At 39.0% G+C, this 17,909-nt stretch overlaps 2 annotated features.

Annotated features, from left to right (window-relative positions):
• Positions 15,598-16,097: an enhancer, noted in NCBI's record as "H3K4me1 hESC enhancer chr13:34750243-34750742 (GRCh37/hg19 assembly coordinates)". NCBI's record gives its function as "activates a minimal SCP1, AML or CMV promoter by ChIP-STARR-seq in primed H9 embryonic stem cells {active_cell/tissue: H9 hESC(primed)}" and the evidence as "EXISTENCE:reporter gene assay evidence [ECO:0000049][PMID:30033119]".
• Positions 16,098-16,599: an enhancer, noted in NCBI's record as "H3K4me1 hESC enhancer chr13:34749741-34750242 (GRCh37/hg19 assembly coordinates)". NCBI's record gives its function as "activates a minimal SCP1, AML or CMV promoter by ChIP-STARR-seq in primed H9 embryonic stem cells {active_cell/tissue: H9 hESC(primed)}" and the evidence as "EXISTENCE:reporter gene assay evidence [ECO:0000049][PMID:30033119]".

Raw genomic sequence — 17,909 nt, 5'->3', positions numbered from 1 at the left:
CTGTAAGTTACAGTAATAATACCCCTTTATTCTTAAATCCTTTGTGTGAGTTTCCTAAAATTATAGGTATTCTTTTACATAACCACAGTAGAATTATCAAAATCAAACCATTATAACTGATATAGCTTATTTATATCATCTATAAACCATATTCAGGTTTCCCCAATTATCTCACTGATGTCCACTGAAGCAAAATAAAAATATGTACTTTTCTTCTTGGTCCAGTTCAGCATCATACATTGCATTTATTTACCCAGTTTCCTTACTTTCTTTTAATCTAGAACAGTTTCTTCTTTACAACATTGACTTTTTTTTTTTTTTGGCCTTTTTTTTATTATTTTACTTTAAGTTCTGGGATATATGTGCAGAACATGCAGGTCTGTTACATAGGTATGCATGTGTCATGGTGGTTTGCTGCACCCATCAACCTGTCATCTACATTAGGTATTCCTCCTAATGCTATCCTTCCTCTAGCCCCCCACTCCCTGACAGGCCCCAGTGTGTGATGTTCCCCTCCCTGTGTCCATGTGTTTTTCATTGTTCAACTCCCACTTATGAGTGAGAATATGTGGTGTTTGGTTTTCTGTTCCTGTGTTAATTTGCTGAGAATGATGGTTTCCAGCTTCACCCACGTCCCTGCAAAGGACACAAACTCACCATTTTTTATGGCTGCATAGTATTCCATGGTGTACATGTGCCACATTTTCCTTATCAAGTTTATCATGGATGGGCATTTGGATTGGTTCCACATCTTTGCCATTGTGAACAGTGCTGCAATAAACATATGTGTGCATGTGTCTTTATAGTAGAATGATTTGTAATCCTTTGGGCATATACCCAAGTAATGGGATTGCTGGGTCAAATGGTATTCCTGGTTCTAGATCCTTGAGGAATCGCCACATTGTCTTCCACAATGGATGAACTAATTTGCGCTGCCACCAACTGTGTAAAAGTGTTCCTATTTCTCTACATCCTCTCCACCATCTGTTGTTTCCTAACTTTTCAATGATCACCATTCCAACCAATGAGATGGTATCTCATTGTAGTTTTGATTTGTATTTCTTTAATGACCAGTAATGATGAGCTTTTTTCAAATGTTTGTTGACCGCATAAATGTCTTCTTTTGAGAAGTGTTTGTTCATATCCTTCACCCACTTTTGGATGGGGTTGTTTGTTTTTTTATTGTAAATTTGTTTACGTTTTTTATAGATTCTGGCATTAGCCCTTTGTCAGATGGAGAGATTGCAAAAATTTTCTCCCATTCTGTAGGTTGCCTGTTCACGTGACATTTTTGAAGTGGTTTAGCTAGTTAGTTTGTTTGAATTTCCCTTAATTTGGATTTGTTTGATGTTTCCTCATGATTGGATTCAGGATGTTGGGGCAGGAGTAATGCAGAAGTGACAGTGTTCCGGAGGCATTATATCAAGATCTACATGATTTATCTATTTGTTCCAGCACTTGGTTATGTTGTTAATATAATGTCTGTCAGGTTTATCCACTGAAAAGCTACTATATTTCCATGTGTAATAAAGTAAATGTCTTTTGAGGAAAGGGTCCAACAATCATGAAATTAATACTAAAGGGAAAGGAAGAGAAAGAAATGAAGAAGATAAGTGTAGGCACTGGTAGTCTGTGAAGAAAATCAGTTAAGATAGTAGAAAATATGTGTATTCAAGGGCAGAAGTCTCTCTCTTTTTCTCAAATAGTTGAACATAAATTCTATATTAAATGGGAAAAAAAAGCATTCTGAACCTTTGGAAGGATGGCAGCAAAAGTGTGCTTTTTAATCTCCTCAAATCCCCACATAAAAATAGAGCAATTAGAATAACCAAACCGCAAATCCATGTCAAACACTTACAAAAATCTAGGTAACAAAATATGCTCATGAACCCCAAAATATGAGTAGGTAAGAGCCAACCAGTGACAGATACATACTTGTATAATATCAGCATCTTCACAGGTGAAAGCAGAGCGAGTCAACATGACATCTGACGGACCTGATAAAACCAAAATAAAAAACAGATCTTCACTGCAACCTTCAGGGAGCCAATGTGAGAACAGAAGCTGAAACTGGGAGGGATTTCACACATTTCAACATCAGATAAGAGAAAGAGGTCTGCAGTGAGGTTTGAAAGAGCTATAGTTTTGACCTCTCAAAACTAAAGAAACAAAGATTCATTCAAGGAGAAAGCTACACACAGCTGCAAAAACTGGTGCAAAAAGATTCCAAATTAAGCATAACTGGGATAAAAAAAAAAACTAAAGAAAAATAAGTTTAGATAAAATTGAGGTGAGAAATAGAGATGTTAGAAATACTAGAAGCTCTAGAATATGATGTTAAAGAAAAATCCTGAACCATGCCTTCCTCCTGAAAGATTAGGAAAACTGATTTTATATAAAATTAAGTAACAAAGAAGAATTGAAGTCACACTCCATACTAAAACTATGAGGAAACTAACTGAAAATTTTTAAATGCTGGAAAGGCACAGCATAAAAGATGAAAATTATAGCCTAATATTTGAAAATAAGCTAAAAGATTTTAAGAAAATTATATACAATATAAAAGAACAAAATAAAAATTACTCTTGAGTGTGGTGGTAAAAATCAGAAAAGAATTAGAAATAAAAGGAAAAAAGCATTTCATAAATGAAGACTTAACTGATCAGAACATTAAAGCAAATAAATACAAAAGACAATAATATAAAAATACAAGAAAAGGCCGGGCACAGTGGCTCACACCTGTAATCCCAGCACTTTGGGAGGCTGAGGCAGGCGGATCATGAGGTCAGGAGATAGAGACCATCATGGCTAACGCGGTAAAACTCCATCTCTACTGAAAATACAAAAAAAAATTAGCCGGGTATGGTGGTGGGCATCTGTAGTCCTAGCTACTTGGGGGGCTGAGGCAGGAGAATAGCGTGAACCCAGGAGGCGGAGGTTGCAGTGAGCTGAGATCACGCCACTACGCTCCAGCCTGGGTGACAGAGTGAGACTCCATCCAAAAAAAAAAAAAAAAAAAAAAACAAGAAAAGAAAAAAGATTTTATTTATGTTTTTAAAAATGATATATTCTTTATTTGTACAAATTTATGGAGCACATGTAAAATTTTGTTATATGCATATAATACAGAGTGATCAAATCAGAATATTGACAGTGTATATCACCCAATTAAAATACATTTTGAACTGTAGCCTCCCTCCTCTGCTATCAAACATTGAATTCATTCCTACCATCTAACTATATGTTTGTACCTTTTAATCCACTTCTCTTTATCCTCCTTTCTTCCCTCACTCATTTTTCCCAGTCTCTGTAATCTATCTTTCCCCTTTTTTCTCCAGGTAATCAAAATTTTTAGCTCCCATAAAAATTTAAAACAAAATGATAAAAAGGATTTGCACAATTGTGGCAAATACAGAAGAAAAGCAAAGAAGATCCAAATACATATAATAGGGTACCACAAATTGGGGTTGGGGTGAAATAAAAGTAAGATTACAGAACAAATACTAAGACTATAATTGAAGAAAATTATTCTGAAATATAAAAATGATTTGAAATTACATATTGAAAGGGCATGGTACACACTTTACAAAACTGAAACAAAATAACCAACCCTGAGACATTCCTAGAAAAAAAAATTAGCACAATTTAAAGATTAGAAAAAGAAAAACTTTTGGCCAACTGTTTACAAGACCAAGCCATTTATAAGAGAAAGAAACTTTATTGTTACCAGACTTTTTGACAAAAGAAGAATTGAGTAAGGTATTTAAAGTACTGAAGGAAAGAAAATGTAAGCTAAGGATGTTTTATTCAGTAAAACCAACTTTGGAGTGTAAAGGGTATAGACAAACTGTCATCAGCATGTAAGAACTCAAGATATTATTCTTATGAACCTTTCCTGAAAAATTTACTATAGAACAAGTTTCAGGCAAAAATAGGTACAGAGACAAAAGGGCTAATAATGGCCATTAAATATACATTTACTTGTGGAATGAAGACAAAATGAATGGAGAATGTAGTGTATATATCCTCTGACAATGAAGATACAATTAAGCTATAAAATAATGAAGAAGGCATATGCAAAAAATGTTTTAACTATATTAAGTCATCACTGTGGGTCCTAGTATTGGTATTGTTATTCTGAAAATGTTGTATATCAAATGTGGGAGGAGTCAGTAAATAATTCTGTGATATTTTAACTTTCTCATCTCCAGTGCTTTTGAGAGCTAGGATTCTCAATGTGGGAAAAGGCAATACCAATTTAAGATAAAAGAGGTTGGCCAGGTGTGGTTGCTCACGCTTGTAATCCCAGCACTTTGGGAGGCTGAGGCAGGAGGATCACTTGAGGTCAGGAGTTCAAGACCAGCCTGGCCAACATGGTGAAACCACATCTCTACTAAAAATACAAAGATCAGCCAGGTGTAGTGGCACACACCTGTAATCCCAGCTACTTGGGAAGCTGAGGCAGGAGAATCACTTGAACCTAGGAAGCGGAGGCTGCACTGAGCCAAGACTGTGCCACCACACTCCAGCCTGGACAACAGAGCAAGACCCCATCTCGAAAAAAAGGAAGTTAAGTAAAACCATTGCAGTCTGGAGTATGAATTGGAAGTTTCTTATTCCCCAGTCAGGTGTGCTGAAATGGCTTAGAAACAATGACCAATCAAATAGCAATGAGTGTGTCCAGCACACAGATTCTGTTCTGAACTGTTTTCTCCTAGCAAAAGAAAGCAATATTTTCTGGAGAAATAGATTATTCCAGATTTGGAGGAGGAAATGCGCAAAATGAGCCTGAAACATGTTCCCATGACATACAACAACGAATGCATCAAAAACGTTGAGTTGTGCCTGAAAAACTCAGAAGAAAACCTGAAGAGGTTTGCAGTAGTCAAAGATATGGCAATTTGAGCTTTCAAATGGATTTTAACTGCAGTACATAGAAACACATCAAATATGTTTCACAGAAATACATCGAATTATGTTTAATATACAAGTAGTTCCTGAGTAGTTTAAAAATCTACTTATTCTCTTTGCATGATCTCTTTTGTAGCTCATGGAATCTGTGTTGTAGGAGGGGGAGATATTATACTTGTTATTTGAGGCTACAAAAAGATGTCTAGGGAACAGGCCTGAAGTTCTTCTGTGAATTTTAGTCTTTCTAGATAGCTCGATTGGGGAAAAATAAATAAATTAACTTAGGGGAGCAGTGAAGCTCTACAAGAACACATATATCTCTGGATGAGAAAGAAAAGGGATGTGGAGCTGCAGATATGTCCTTGGATAATGACAGGGCCACTGGGCACGGAGGCTCATGCCTGTAATCTCAGCACTTTGGGAGGGTGAGGCAGGCAGATTGCCTGAACTCAGGAGTTTGAGACCAGTCTGGCCAACATGGTGAAACCCCACCTCTACTAGAAACACAAAAAATTAGCCAGGCGTGGCGGTGCAGGCCTGTAGTCTCAGCTACTCAAGAGGCTGAGGCACGAGAACTGCTTGAACCCAGGAGGTGGAGGTTGCAGTGAGCTGAGATCATGCCACTGCGTTCCACCCTGGGCAACAGAGTGGTAATGGGCTCTGAACTTATGGATGAGACCTGAAGGGGAATTGAACTTACTCCTCTTTTTGGAGCATCTTTAAAACTGGATTTTGAAATTTTGAAAATAATGCCTCTAACACTATCCCGAGTGGCCATGGTTCTGTGCTGTGGAAGGACTCTTGTCCTGGGGACAGAAACGTGGTCAGAATCCAAAGGAAAGGCTGCCGCCCCCTCAACACACACACACCCCATTTTACTTCCTATGTATTTTCCTCTACCTTCTGTTTTTGCTTCACTTCATTTCGATCCCCACACTGTTTATCCCCCATTCTTAGACAGCTTCATGAAGAACCTCTGGACATATACTGAGGGCTTAACCTTGAATATGGATAAAATCAAGATGATCAACAAACATGATCTTTGGTGCCATAATGCTTTCTATATCAGTTCCTCTTCTGTGCACATTTTAATGCAGTTTATATCTCTATTTCTATATCAGTTCCTCTTTAATTCAAATTTTAATATAGTTTATATCTCTATGAGCATTTCTTAATGCATAAATAATTCAGATTTCTAAAATACCAAAATAATGGCATGAAATCAACAAAAAGGCCAATATTGTACGCCTAAAATTAGCAGAGAACAGAAAATATTGAAAACTTGTGTAACAAGCAGAAGTAAGTGATGAAAACATTAAATTTGAGAATTATCTGCTTTGGTGCAAGGGATCTACCAAATTAGAGAAATGTTTAGAGAAGATAGAAGTTGTCTGAGGAAATAACCGCTTACCATTATTTGTTGTATGGCCTTGGAAAAAATATTCCTTGAAGCTCCGGAAGAATTTGGAGGATATACTGACACAGAAATTAAATTAAATGAAAATCATAAGATGAAAATGAAAGTCAACAGTGTTATGCATTCAGAAAATTCAGGGAGAAGGACCGGAAAGAGAACTCTAGATTGAGTCAATTAAAGATGACAAGTGAGAGATGAATAAGGGATTTTAATACAGGGTTAGAGGAGCTTCCAAATAACAGAATTATGGAGTAATTCAATGATACAAAAATAATAGTAATACCTGTAGAACACTGATGATATATCTGAGGGTACAAGTCAAGAGGGAAATTGAATGATGTGTTGGTAAAAATAGCAATGAGATAATTTTTTTGATGTAGAGGAGAGATGAGCCCATCTAGATGAAGGAAAAGAAGCTTGCAAAGGATGAGAGTTTCAGTATTTGAAAGGGATAGAACATTGATGGATCAGGGTACCTGGAGAGACAGAAAGCAATGGTTGGAAAGCCGAGATGAAGAGCTGGCCTCAGGACCAATGTTTCTTCTTCTAGCTGGAGTACTCCTTTAAAGATATCCTCTAAAATGTAAAAATATTTGATTTCATGTTCTCACTTGAGCAAAATAGTGATAGTCCTGATATTGTGATGGTCCTAATAAAAGCATATAATGTGACCCTGCCCTCTAGGTGCTTACAGTCTAGGTGGAAGAAAGGATAACAGACATAATATAATAATGATGGTGATAGTTAACATTATTTGAGTGCCTACCATATGTCAGACATTTAAGCTCTTAACACACAGTATTTCACTAAATGTGTGCCTGACCTTATAAAATAGTTATTGATCTGAGATACAAAGTTTGAGAAACTCATCTAAGGTCACAGACAAAATGGCACAAATATCATTCAAATCCAGTTCTGCTTGACTCCAAAGCCAGATGCTGTACTACTCTATATGCTACAGAGTAGATGATTAAAGGCTAAGGTTGGTTCTGATATGTTATATGTGTTCTGTGCAGTTGAGAGAATAAAGATCATTATAAACAGAATGAACAGGGTTTTCAACAAAAACTTGTAAAGCCATTGATTATTGCTTTCTTACTTGACAGCCTTTGAGGACTAGCATGGCCAGGACTGGAGTAATGCCCTGGTGAAATAGGTAACTGTGACCATGGATATATGACACAAGTTTGCCTGAAGCAGTGCGTGAAATGAATTTATTAGTCAGATTTCCTCCGATTTTGGACAACTTTCTTGTTGAATGTATTTCTGGCTTTCCTTCTCAAAAGGAAAGATTGTAGGTCACATTGTCATGGGAACAGTGGGAGGAAAAGGAAAGGCAATCAAATCAGGGTACCCAAAAGAATGGATAAAAATAGCTCTTCCCAAGACAACAAAACGGGGAAGACTGACTATGTGGCAGTGTCCCAGTGAGAGTGGACATCTGACTTCCCTGGTGTTATATACAGCAGCTCTAAGGTGTCCATTTGCTGGGTCTCTCTGCAGTGACCATCAAAACTTCTTCACTGGTGTCAAACATCCTGCCTCTCTGTTATTCTTTAAATGACAGGTATTTCATTTATTTGCTACTCACCATAACACAGATCTGTTTTCATTGCCTAAGAATTAAATTTCTTTATTCAAATGGGATACAGGATGGTTCTCCATCCATATGGTGGGGGGTCTTTACATCTCTTCTGTTAAACTTCACAAAACAAGGCCTGGCATTTCAACTTTCTTAGATCTTCCTCTTTCTTTCTTTTTTTTTTTTTTTTTTTTTTTTTGAGACAGAGTCTCGCTCCGTCACCAGGCTGGAGTGCAGTGGCGCAATCTCGGCTCACTGCAACCTCCACTTCCCAGGTTCAAGCAATTCTCCTGCCTCAGTCTCCCGAGTAGCTGGGATTACAGGCACATGCCACCATACCCAACTAATTTTTCTATTTTTAGTAGAGACGGGGTTTCACCATGTTGGTCAGGCTGGTCTCAATCTTGTGACCTCGTGATCCACCCGCCTCGGCCTCCCAAAGTGCTGGGATTACAGGCATGAGCCATCGCGCCTGGCCCCTATTTCTTTTTAGCAACTGGGAACATGATCTCTCACAGTCAAAGCAAGAAGATTAACTGAAGTCCCCTTCCATTTACTCTTACCTGAAGGTTAACTTTCCTCCCCACTCATAGTACTTCTGGGGGTTGGGATCAGTGATTGTTCTCTCTTTAATTAAATTTCTTAATCCTAGGAATGACATTAGCAAGATAGTGGAACAGGAGATTTCGTCCTTCATCCTCCACGAAATGCCAGTTTAGCAACAATATATGGACAAAAATATCTTTATGAGTAGCCCATAATTTGCAGTAGTCCAGATGGGCACAAAAAGGAAGACAGCCATATTAAAGTTAGTAAAAAGAGCAATTTTATTTTACATCAGCCCTTCCCCCAACTTGACACAGCTTAGTACCGAAAGAGATCACCTCTGCCTATGACTTCTCCCCCTGGGAGAAAGAGAGAGTGGAATATGCCTTTAATGTGCTAGTTTTTCAGCACGCTGCCCAAGGGGTTGGTTTCTGTCTCATCCCACACAGAACACTGACAGAACTGACACAGATTAAATGCCTAGGGGCAGTTAAGACCAAAGTAGAAAGGATAGGGGCTTGCTGCAGCTGGCAGAGCTCTGTGAGACTGAGAGAAGGTGAGAACCTGAGGTTTCTCCCACAGGAAGGATGGAAAGGAGTAGAGCATGTCCATGTCTATGATCTTACAATGCACTGTTTAGAGGCCTGTTTCTACCTTGCCTCACATGAAGCATTGACAGAACTAGCATACATCAAACACCTAGGGGTAGTTAAGAACAAAGAAGAGGAGGTAGACAGCTTACGGTGGCAAGCACAGCTCTGTGAGACTGATGAAACGCACAGAATCCAAGACGTCTTCCCCCAGAGAGGAGGGAGGAGCGGAACATGTCTTTAACATCTCTGGCCTTTCCACGCACTGCCCAAAAAGCTGGCCTCTGTCTCATCTAATCCAGTGTGCCAACAGAATTCTCATAGTTTGGTGGGGGCAACTAAGAACAAAGGGAAAAGGGCAAGTGAACTGTAGTACTCACCACAGCTTAACAAAATTGGAAGAAGACACAGACTCAAGGCTTCTCCATAAAGAATAAGGGAGAGAAATGGGATTATGCCACATCCCAGCCTGTGGTTCAAACACCAGAAGTCAGACACCAGAAGAAGCAAGAGATTATGAGCTCTTGGAAAAGAAATAAAAAGAAAAAAGAAAAGGAAGAAACCAGTAAATCCCCTCTAATTTGGAATCTACATGCACATGTCAAAGGAGACATATTCATAACAAATAATTAAAAGACTTTCAGAATCTCTAGCTGTGTTGACTGTGAAGGTCTTTCCCTGATGAAACCAGACAGAACAAGAAATACAAAGAATCAGGAAAACCTGACACAATCAAATGAACAAAATTAATTTCCAGTAACCTGCACTGAAGAAATAGAGATTTGTGACTTGCCTGACAACTAATGCAAAATAATTGTCTTAAAGAATCTAAGTGAGTTACAAAAGAACATAGATAGACAATGATACCAAGTCAGGAAAATGATACATGGACAAAATGAGAATATAAATAGAGTTAGAAACTTTAAAAAAGAAACAAACAGAAATCCAGACCTGAAGGAACAATAAGTGAACTGAAAAAAATCACTAGAAGGTTTTTTTTTTTTTTAATTTAATTTAATTTTATTTTATTTTTTATTGATCATTCTTGGGTGTTTCTCACAGAGGGGGATTTGGCAGGGTCATAGGACAATAGTGGAGGGAAGGTCAGCAGATAAACAAGTGAACAAAGGTCTCTGGTCTTCCTAGGCAGAGGACCCTGCGGCCTTCCGCAGTGTTTGTGTCCCTGGGTACTTGAGATTAGGGAGTGGTGATGACTCTTAACGAGCATGCTGCCTTCAAGCATCTGTTTAACAAAGCACATCTTGCACTGCCCTTAATCCATTTAACCCTGAGTGGACACAGCACATGTTTCAGTGAGCACAGGGTTGGGAGTAAGGTCACAGATCAACAGGATCCCAAGGCAGAAGAATTTTTCTTAGTACAGAACAAAATGAAAAGTCTCCCATGTCTACTTCTTTCTACACAGACACGGCAACCATCCGATTTCTCAATCTTTTCCCCACCTTTCCCCCCTTTCTATTCCACAAAGCCGCCATTGTCATCCTGGCCCGTTCTCAATGAGCTGTTGGGCACACCTCCCAGACGGGGTGGTGGCCGGGCAGAGGGGCTCCTCACTTCCCAGTAGGGGCGGCTGGCCGGGCGGGTGGCTGACCCCCCCACCTCCCTCCCGGACGGGGCAGCTGGCCGGGCAGAGGGGCTCCTCACTTCCCAGTAGGGGCGGCCGGGCAGAGGTGCCCCTCACCTCCCGGACGGGACGGCTGGCCAGGCGGGGGGCTGACCCCCCTACCTCCCTCCCGGTAGAAGGTTTCAAAGCCAGACTTGATTAAGCAGAAGGGATAGTGAACTCAAAGATAGGTGATTTGGATTTATCAGAGGATAAAAAGAAAAACATGATAAAAATGAGTGAATAAATCTTAAAGAAATTATGGAAAACCATCAAACAAACCAATATACAAATTGGGAAGTTCTAAAAGGAAAAGAAGAAAGAGAAAGGGGCATAAAAATCATTTAAAGAAATAAGGATGGAAAACTTCCCAAATTTAGGGAAGGAAATGGACATTCAGATTCATAAAGCCCCAAGAGTACTAAATAGGATAAATCCAATGAAGTCTACATTAAAGACACATTACCATGAAGTTGTCAAAAGTCAAAGACAAAGAGAGCATCTGTATTGGGTTAGCTGATCTTCAAAAAGGGTGCCAAAAATACCCAATGGGGAAAGGATAGTCTCCTCAACAAATGGTGTCAGGGAAACTAGAGATTCATGCAGAAGAAAGAAAGTGAACCTCATCTTACACCATACACAAAAATAAATTAACATGGATTAAAGATTCAAATATAAGACCTGAATTTATAAAGCTTCTAAAAGAAAACCTAGGAGAAATATTCCATGACGTTGGCCTATACAAAGATTTTGTGGATATGACACATAAGACACAAACAACAAAAGCAAAAATAAATAAGTGGGACTAACTCAAACTAAAAGGCTACCAAACAGCAGAGGAAACAATCAGCAGAATGAAAAGGCAACCAAAGGAATGGTAGAAAATATTTGCAAAGATGGCCAGCAGATATATGGAAAGGTGTTCAACATTACTAAATATCAGGAAAATGATAATTTAAACCACAATGATACATCAAAAAAGCAAAAGTTCATTTTAAAAACTCCAAAGATTATCCAAAAACCAAAAAGTATCCAAAAACTGAAAGATAACAGGTACTTGTGAGAATGTCAAGGGATTGAAATTTTTGTACACTGTTGATGAGAAAGTAAACTGGAGTTTCCTCAAAATTTTTAAAAATAAAGTTACTGTATGATTCAGCAATCCTAACTCTGGGTTACATGAAAAGAATTAAAATTAGGATCTCAAAGGGATATTAACACTCATGTTCACTGCAGCATTCCTTGCAATAACCAAGATATGGAAGCAACCTAAGTATCCATCAATGTATGCATGGATATGAAAATATGGTAAATACATACTATACGATATTATTCAGCCTCAAAGAAGAAGGAAATCCTGCCACATGAGACAACATGAATGAATCTGGAGGACATTATGCTAAGTGAAATTAGCCAGGCACAGAAGGGCAAATACTGTATGAGCTCACTTATATGAGGTATCTAAAATAGCCAGACTTAGAAACAAAGAATAGAATGGTGTTATCAGGGACTGAGGAAGGGAAAAAAGGAGAGTTGCTATTTGTGATGTAAAAAGTTTTAATTATACAAGATGAATGACTTCTAGAGATCTGCTGTAAAATGCGGTGTCTGTAGTTAACAATACTATGTTGTCTACTTAAAATTTTAAGACTATAGATCTCATGTTAAATGTTCTTAATCAATTTTTTTTTTAAAGAATCTTAATCCTGGTACCCAAGGCCCTGAGTCTCAGTCTGAAATTCCTTGAATTCCTTTCTCCCAAGTCGTCTAGACCCTGGTCATGCAGAGAAAACCCTTGCAGAGTGCCCTGGGTGAAATGCAAGTGAAGCCTGCCTTCCCACTCCAAAACACTCTTGATTCAGCTCCTAAGAGCATCAGCCAACCTACTTACAAAGACTAAACAGGTACCCCCTGGAGAGACTGATGCTTTGTGAAGTGGTAGATACATCAGGTTGTACAGAAGCCCAGTCTTGGGTGCCCCACTCTACTTTAGGCAAAAGCCCAGTATCAAGGGTTCTCCTGGCCCTCCTCTTTGCCTTGTAGGTAAGAAATCTAGAAATAGTTACAACTCTGTACCTCCCTCACTGACTTCTCCTTGATATCCCACTTGTAAAACAGGACTAAAAATAATATCACTCTGTTAGACAAAGCATGTAAAAACACTAGCGCCTATATTCTTGGAGCAATGCATGTTTCTACAGGTCTAATTCTTAATAGATTGATGGGGCCCATAGACCCTGAACTGGACTTTATAAATAAAGTCACTGATCATGCCCCTTGTCTCAGCAGAAGCTGGAGATGATGAGTGTGTGTGTGTGTGTGTGTGTGTGTGTGTGTGTGTGTGTATCTCCTGTGAAAGGGTAATCAAATCAGAGCCTGGTGCAGGGCATATGGGAAGAGTGCTTGATTGTGCCCCAGCAGGAAGAGCATTACTCATTGTGACAAACCTTCTTCTCCCTGGGAGGTGATAATGCAGCTGTTATTACTTTTTATAATCTCGCCAAAAAGTGCTAACACTGAGATTTTTATTCAAGAATTTAAACAAATTCAAAATAATGGAGCAGTCTAATAGACCAAATTGTACATGCAGTCAATGCAGTTTTATTCAGAGAACTAGCATTACGTTTTTTGACGTTAGGTGATATATTGGGGTAATGAAATTTTTAGTCCTTGGTTTTTCAATTTTAAGAATATTGCTATTATTTTGCATTCTTGGGACTCTGCACTGACTTAGAATCAGTGAGATTCACAAAAGAACTTGATGAATGCTGCTAGGCCCCTGCTGGTATAATTTAGATTCAAATTAAATATATGTGGGGTTATTTTTATTTAACAAACTGGCCTTAACCAAAAGTTTCATTTTCTATTTCCCTTCAATAACTCCTCTCCTAACAAAACTAGAAATGAGAAGAGATATGTGTTTGTATTTTACTTTAATTAAAATGGCCAGTGAGGCTGTGGAAAACTTCTTTTCTGTGGATGTGTTGGGATAGGGGGGCATATTTATGGGTTTAAAATTTGTGTTGAAGAAGGAAAGTGGAAAACTCAAGAAACAAAAATAGCAATGAGAACATGTAGCTGGAATCATGAACTTTTAATTAACGCCATCACTCGTAAGAACTTAATGAATACACAAACACATACAGCGTTTAAATGTTTTTATTTTGGTTTAGAATTGAAACCAAAATGTTAAACACTTTAAAAATGGAAATAGACATAATTCTCCTTCAAGAAACTTCAGATTAACATAAAATACTATCACTGTCATTTAGAAAATGGCTTTAACATTTTCAATGCATTTTTAACCTATGTAATCTTATTTTATTTCTATGACTCCCTGGAAGATAGGTAAAATTATATTATTAGCCATTTTTCCCTTCAGGAGACTGAGGTATCTGAGAAGAGAGCAAACTATATTCACTGAGGTACCACTGTTTTTACTAGCTATATATTGAATCCTTTTTAATTTTCAAAACTGGCCTATAAAGTAAATATTACAAAGAACTCTGAGGTCCAGAAATATTAAATTATTTGCCCAATGTCACATAGATGGTAGATGTTGCAAACAAGATTTAAAGTCTAAGTTGGGTCCAGGCATGGTGGCTCACACCTGTAATCCCAGCACTTTAGGGGGCCGATGTGGGAGGATATCTTGAGCTCAGCAGTTCGAGACCAGCCTGGGCAACATAGTGAGACCTGGTCTCTAAAAAAAATTGTTAAATTACTTGGGTGTGGTGCTGTGTGCCCAAAGTCCTAGCTGCTTGAGAAGCTGAAATGGGAGAATTGCTTGAGCCCAGGAGTTTGAGGCTGCAGTGAGCCGTGATCACACCACTGCATTCCAGCCTGGGCAACAGAGTGAGATCCAGCCTTAAAAAACAAAACTCAGGTCGGTATGATTTCAAAATCCCCTATACCAGATTATCTACATAGAATGTTAAATTACATGCCACTAAAAAGGCTAAACTACTCAGTTGAATAGTGTTAAATGAATTCAGGTTTCCTGAATCCTAACACCATCCAGAGGTAGAGGACATAAGAATCTAAAATAATAAATGCTTTGGCAAAGGTTATATGCCTCAGATTTAAAGTATAATAACTGTCAAACAGCTAATAAATTCAGTTGTAATTATGAAAGGTTATGGAGTTTTGAGGGGTTTTATATTTGAGCCTTAAAGAAGGAGTGAGTGAGACTGATCAAAAGTTACGAAGGACTATTATAACTTCAATTTTATGTATGTCTAATACAGTGTTTCCCAAACTTTGGTGCACATCAGAATCATCTGAGGAGCTTGTTAAAGAGATAGCTGCTATAAATCAACTTGTAGGAATTTAGCCTAAGGTAGCATTACTTGAATGGTAATGTGAGAAGCTAAAATATGATCTGGGAAAGGAGGGCTTCATGGACAAACAAGAGTGGGAAATGGTGTTTGTGTAAATCCTACAAGTTGGTTTTACATTCAAATAAGCTTCAAATTTGTGCGTTGAACAGGAAGGACTAGGACAGAGGTTCCTAAAGATAACACACAACCCTGGGAGAGAAGGATCCTGGAGATTTAGCATCTCTGAGCTGCAGAGAAAAGAAAAACATGCAACCAGCAAGCTAAAATAAGATCAGAGGCTGACACAATTCGATTTCTGCATCAGACTGAAAGGACTTAGCCAGAGGCAAAAATGCAGGCTGGGTCATGAGATGGCGAGAAGCGAGGAGCAAGGTATAATGTGGGTGAAGCTGGGTGGTTCAGGCTTTTAATCCAGGAGTTGGATTTTTTGTGCATTAATGTGCATGCTTGCTGCCTGTCTGGCATGTAGTGGACAGCCAAGTGAGTCTGCCGTTGTCTACCGGTCCACATACTGTGCTTATTTCAAAGTCTGTCTGAAGGTTCTCCTCCTATGGGAAGCTTTCCCTGAATTTCTTCACCTCCCCAGGGGCCTTCTGTTTTTTAAGTGTCTTTGCATTTCACTTTTCCAATTTTCCTCTTATTACTTGATTTCAAAATGTTCGATACTAGTCCACAGAAAGATGATAGCAAAACTTTATGGTTATCAAGCGCCTTGTAATAAACAAACCCGACACTTAACAGCTCAAAGCACCAACTGTTTTTGTATTTCTCGTGGCTCTAGGGGGTGATGGGGTGGTTTTTCTGCTGGGGCTCTGGGACAGTCACAGGATCAAAATGCCCTCATTCACACAGTTGCCATCTTGAAATTCTTAATAAATTTCATCCTTAAGTTTGTATTTGGTAGGTGAATAATGAGGTGACAATGGAGCAGATGTTGGTGGCTCGGAGCCCATTGCCCCAGGATAGCTTCCTGGCTGCACTCTCCTGCTGTCTGACTCCTTGGGTCCCAAGTGGCTTCCCCTCCCCACACCTGCCCCATGACCACTGCTGCTCTCTGCCCTGTTACATTGGTGGGTGGAAGGCCAGGGTTCTGCTGCTGCCAACGCCCCCTGACAGGAACCTGGGAGCAGATGTGGGGAAGATCAAGGTCAGGGCTTCACAGCATATTGGGACATTCAGTATCTTGGGGTATGGCAAGGGGTCTTTGGTCCCATGTGGGCTGGCGACATCATGGCATGTTTGGCAGATTTCTTGTGACCACAGCCAGTCAGCTCCTGAGCCAGCCCAGGCACAGAAGCATTGGACCTAAGGAAAGCGAGACTGACTTCCCTGCCCCTGGTTGGGGTATGAGTTTTTCTTTTGCACTGGACTTGACAAATTATGTGCCTGGTCCTGGGTGCTGGCCTCCTTCTGGGAGCTCAGCTGTGGCTGCTGGCTATTGTGGGGGTGGGGAGAGGTGTCTTTGTTATTCTCCATATGGACCTTCTGATGTTATAGCAGCTGAGGTCCAGAAAGAGTGGAGCAAGAAGCCAAAACAGAAGCTGGAAATTTCTTAAGGATCATCCTCGAAAGTTACACAGCATCACTTTTGCCACATTTTATTCATCAAAATAATCACAAGGACCACTCAGAACTAAGAAGAAAGGGAACATATTCTACCTCTTAAAAGGATCATGGCAAGAACACAGGTAGAAGAGCATGTAGGACCCTTTCAAGTACTATACAGCTGAAAGCATCCAAAGAGTGTAATATTTAAGAACATGCCCTTCGGAGTGAGTCAGTCAGACGTGGGTTCAGATCTCTGCTCTACCACTACCTGGGAACTAAACTCTAGTTTCTTTAGTTTCCTCATTTGTGAAATGAAGGTTGTTGTGATGGTTAAATAGGATATGTACAGTGTTTGGCAAATATGCAATGTTCTATGGGACCTACTGTTACAGGTGGAGTCACCTGTGGTGCTACAGGAGAGATAAAAGCTTCTCCTGCGAAAAACTCTAATAACCATAAATTTATTATTCATTCCTTTGGTTTATGGGTTTAATAGTGAATGAAAGTCAAGTTGGCTATGGCTAAATATTTACTGAAGGCTGTGTTTGCTCTTGGTTAACCAAGAAGTGCTCCTACCATTCAAAAATACAAGTAACAATGATGAAACCAACCTTTTAACATGAAGCAATTTTTGGAAACTTGGCCAGTAGTCAATTTTGATAGAGGGAAAGAGAACATGAAGATGCTACATATCCATCTCAGAAACCAGGGTCCCACTAAATAAACAAAAGGAAAAACTGGGCACTGAGGACCCATTTCTCTTCCTGAAGAAGGGTGGTGATGAAGAAATAGGCGCTGGGCAACCCATCTTTTGCTTAACTTAACATAGTGCAAGAGAAACTTCCTCAGTAAATGTTTAAGCTGATGTTTTATTATCTTCTACATGCTCTCTGACATTATGTGGAATGCAAACAGTTGTTGCTAAATCTGAGAATATCTGACATTTAGCCTCTGCATAACCACGGCTTGCTTAATAGTAAAAAGAATTTATACCTCCTCAGTGAACAACAAAAATATGCTTTCCTCTAAGCCTAAAATCACATTCTGATTCTTACTTTCATTTGAGTAATAATAGTTATTGTGATGATAATAAAATTAATATAACATCTCAGGGAATCTGTCATTGTTATAACTGGAAATGAACCAGTGAAGAAAAGGTGAAGAGAGACCCTTCTGGCTAAATTGACTGAAACATTCTGCAACAATGGAGAATAATAAAATACAATTAAGACTGAAAGTGACCTGAGGCTTTAAATCAGAGTATTTAATGGAACATGAAGACCAGATAAAGGTCAGCAACTCAGAAGTGACCTCCTGGTTATAATAGATAGGTTAGAAAAGATCCCAAACC

Source organism: Homo sapiens, chromosome 13 (genome assembly GCF_000001405.40).
Source record: "Homo sapiens chromosome 13, GRCh38.p14 Primary Assembly".
Lineage (NCBI taxonomy): Eukaryota > Metazoa > Chordata > Mammalia > Primates > Hominidae > Homo > Homo sapiens.
This window is presented reverse-complemented; position numbering and strand designations above follow the sequence as displayed.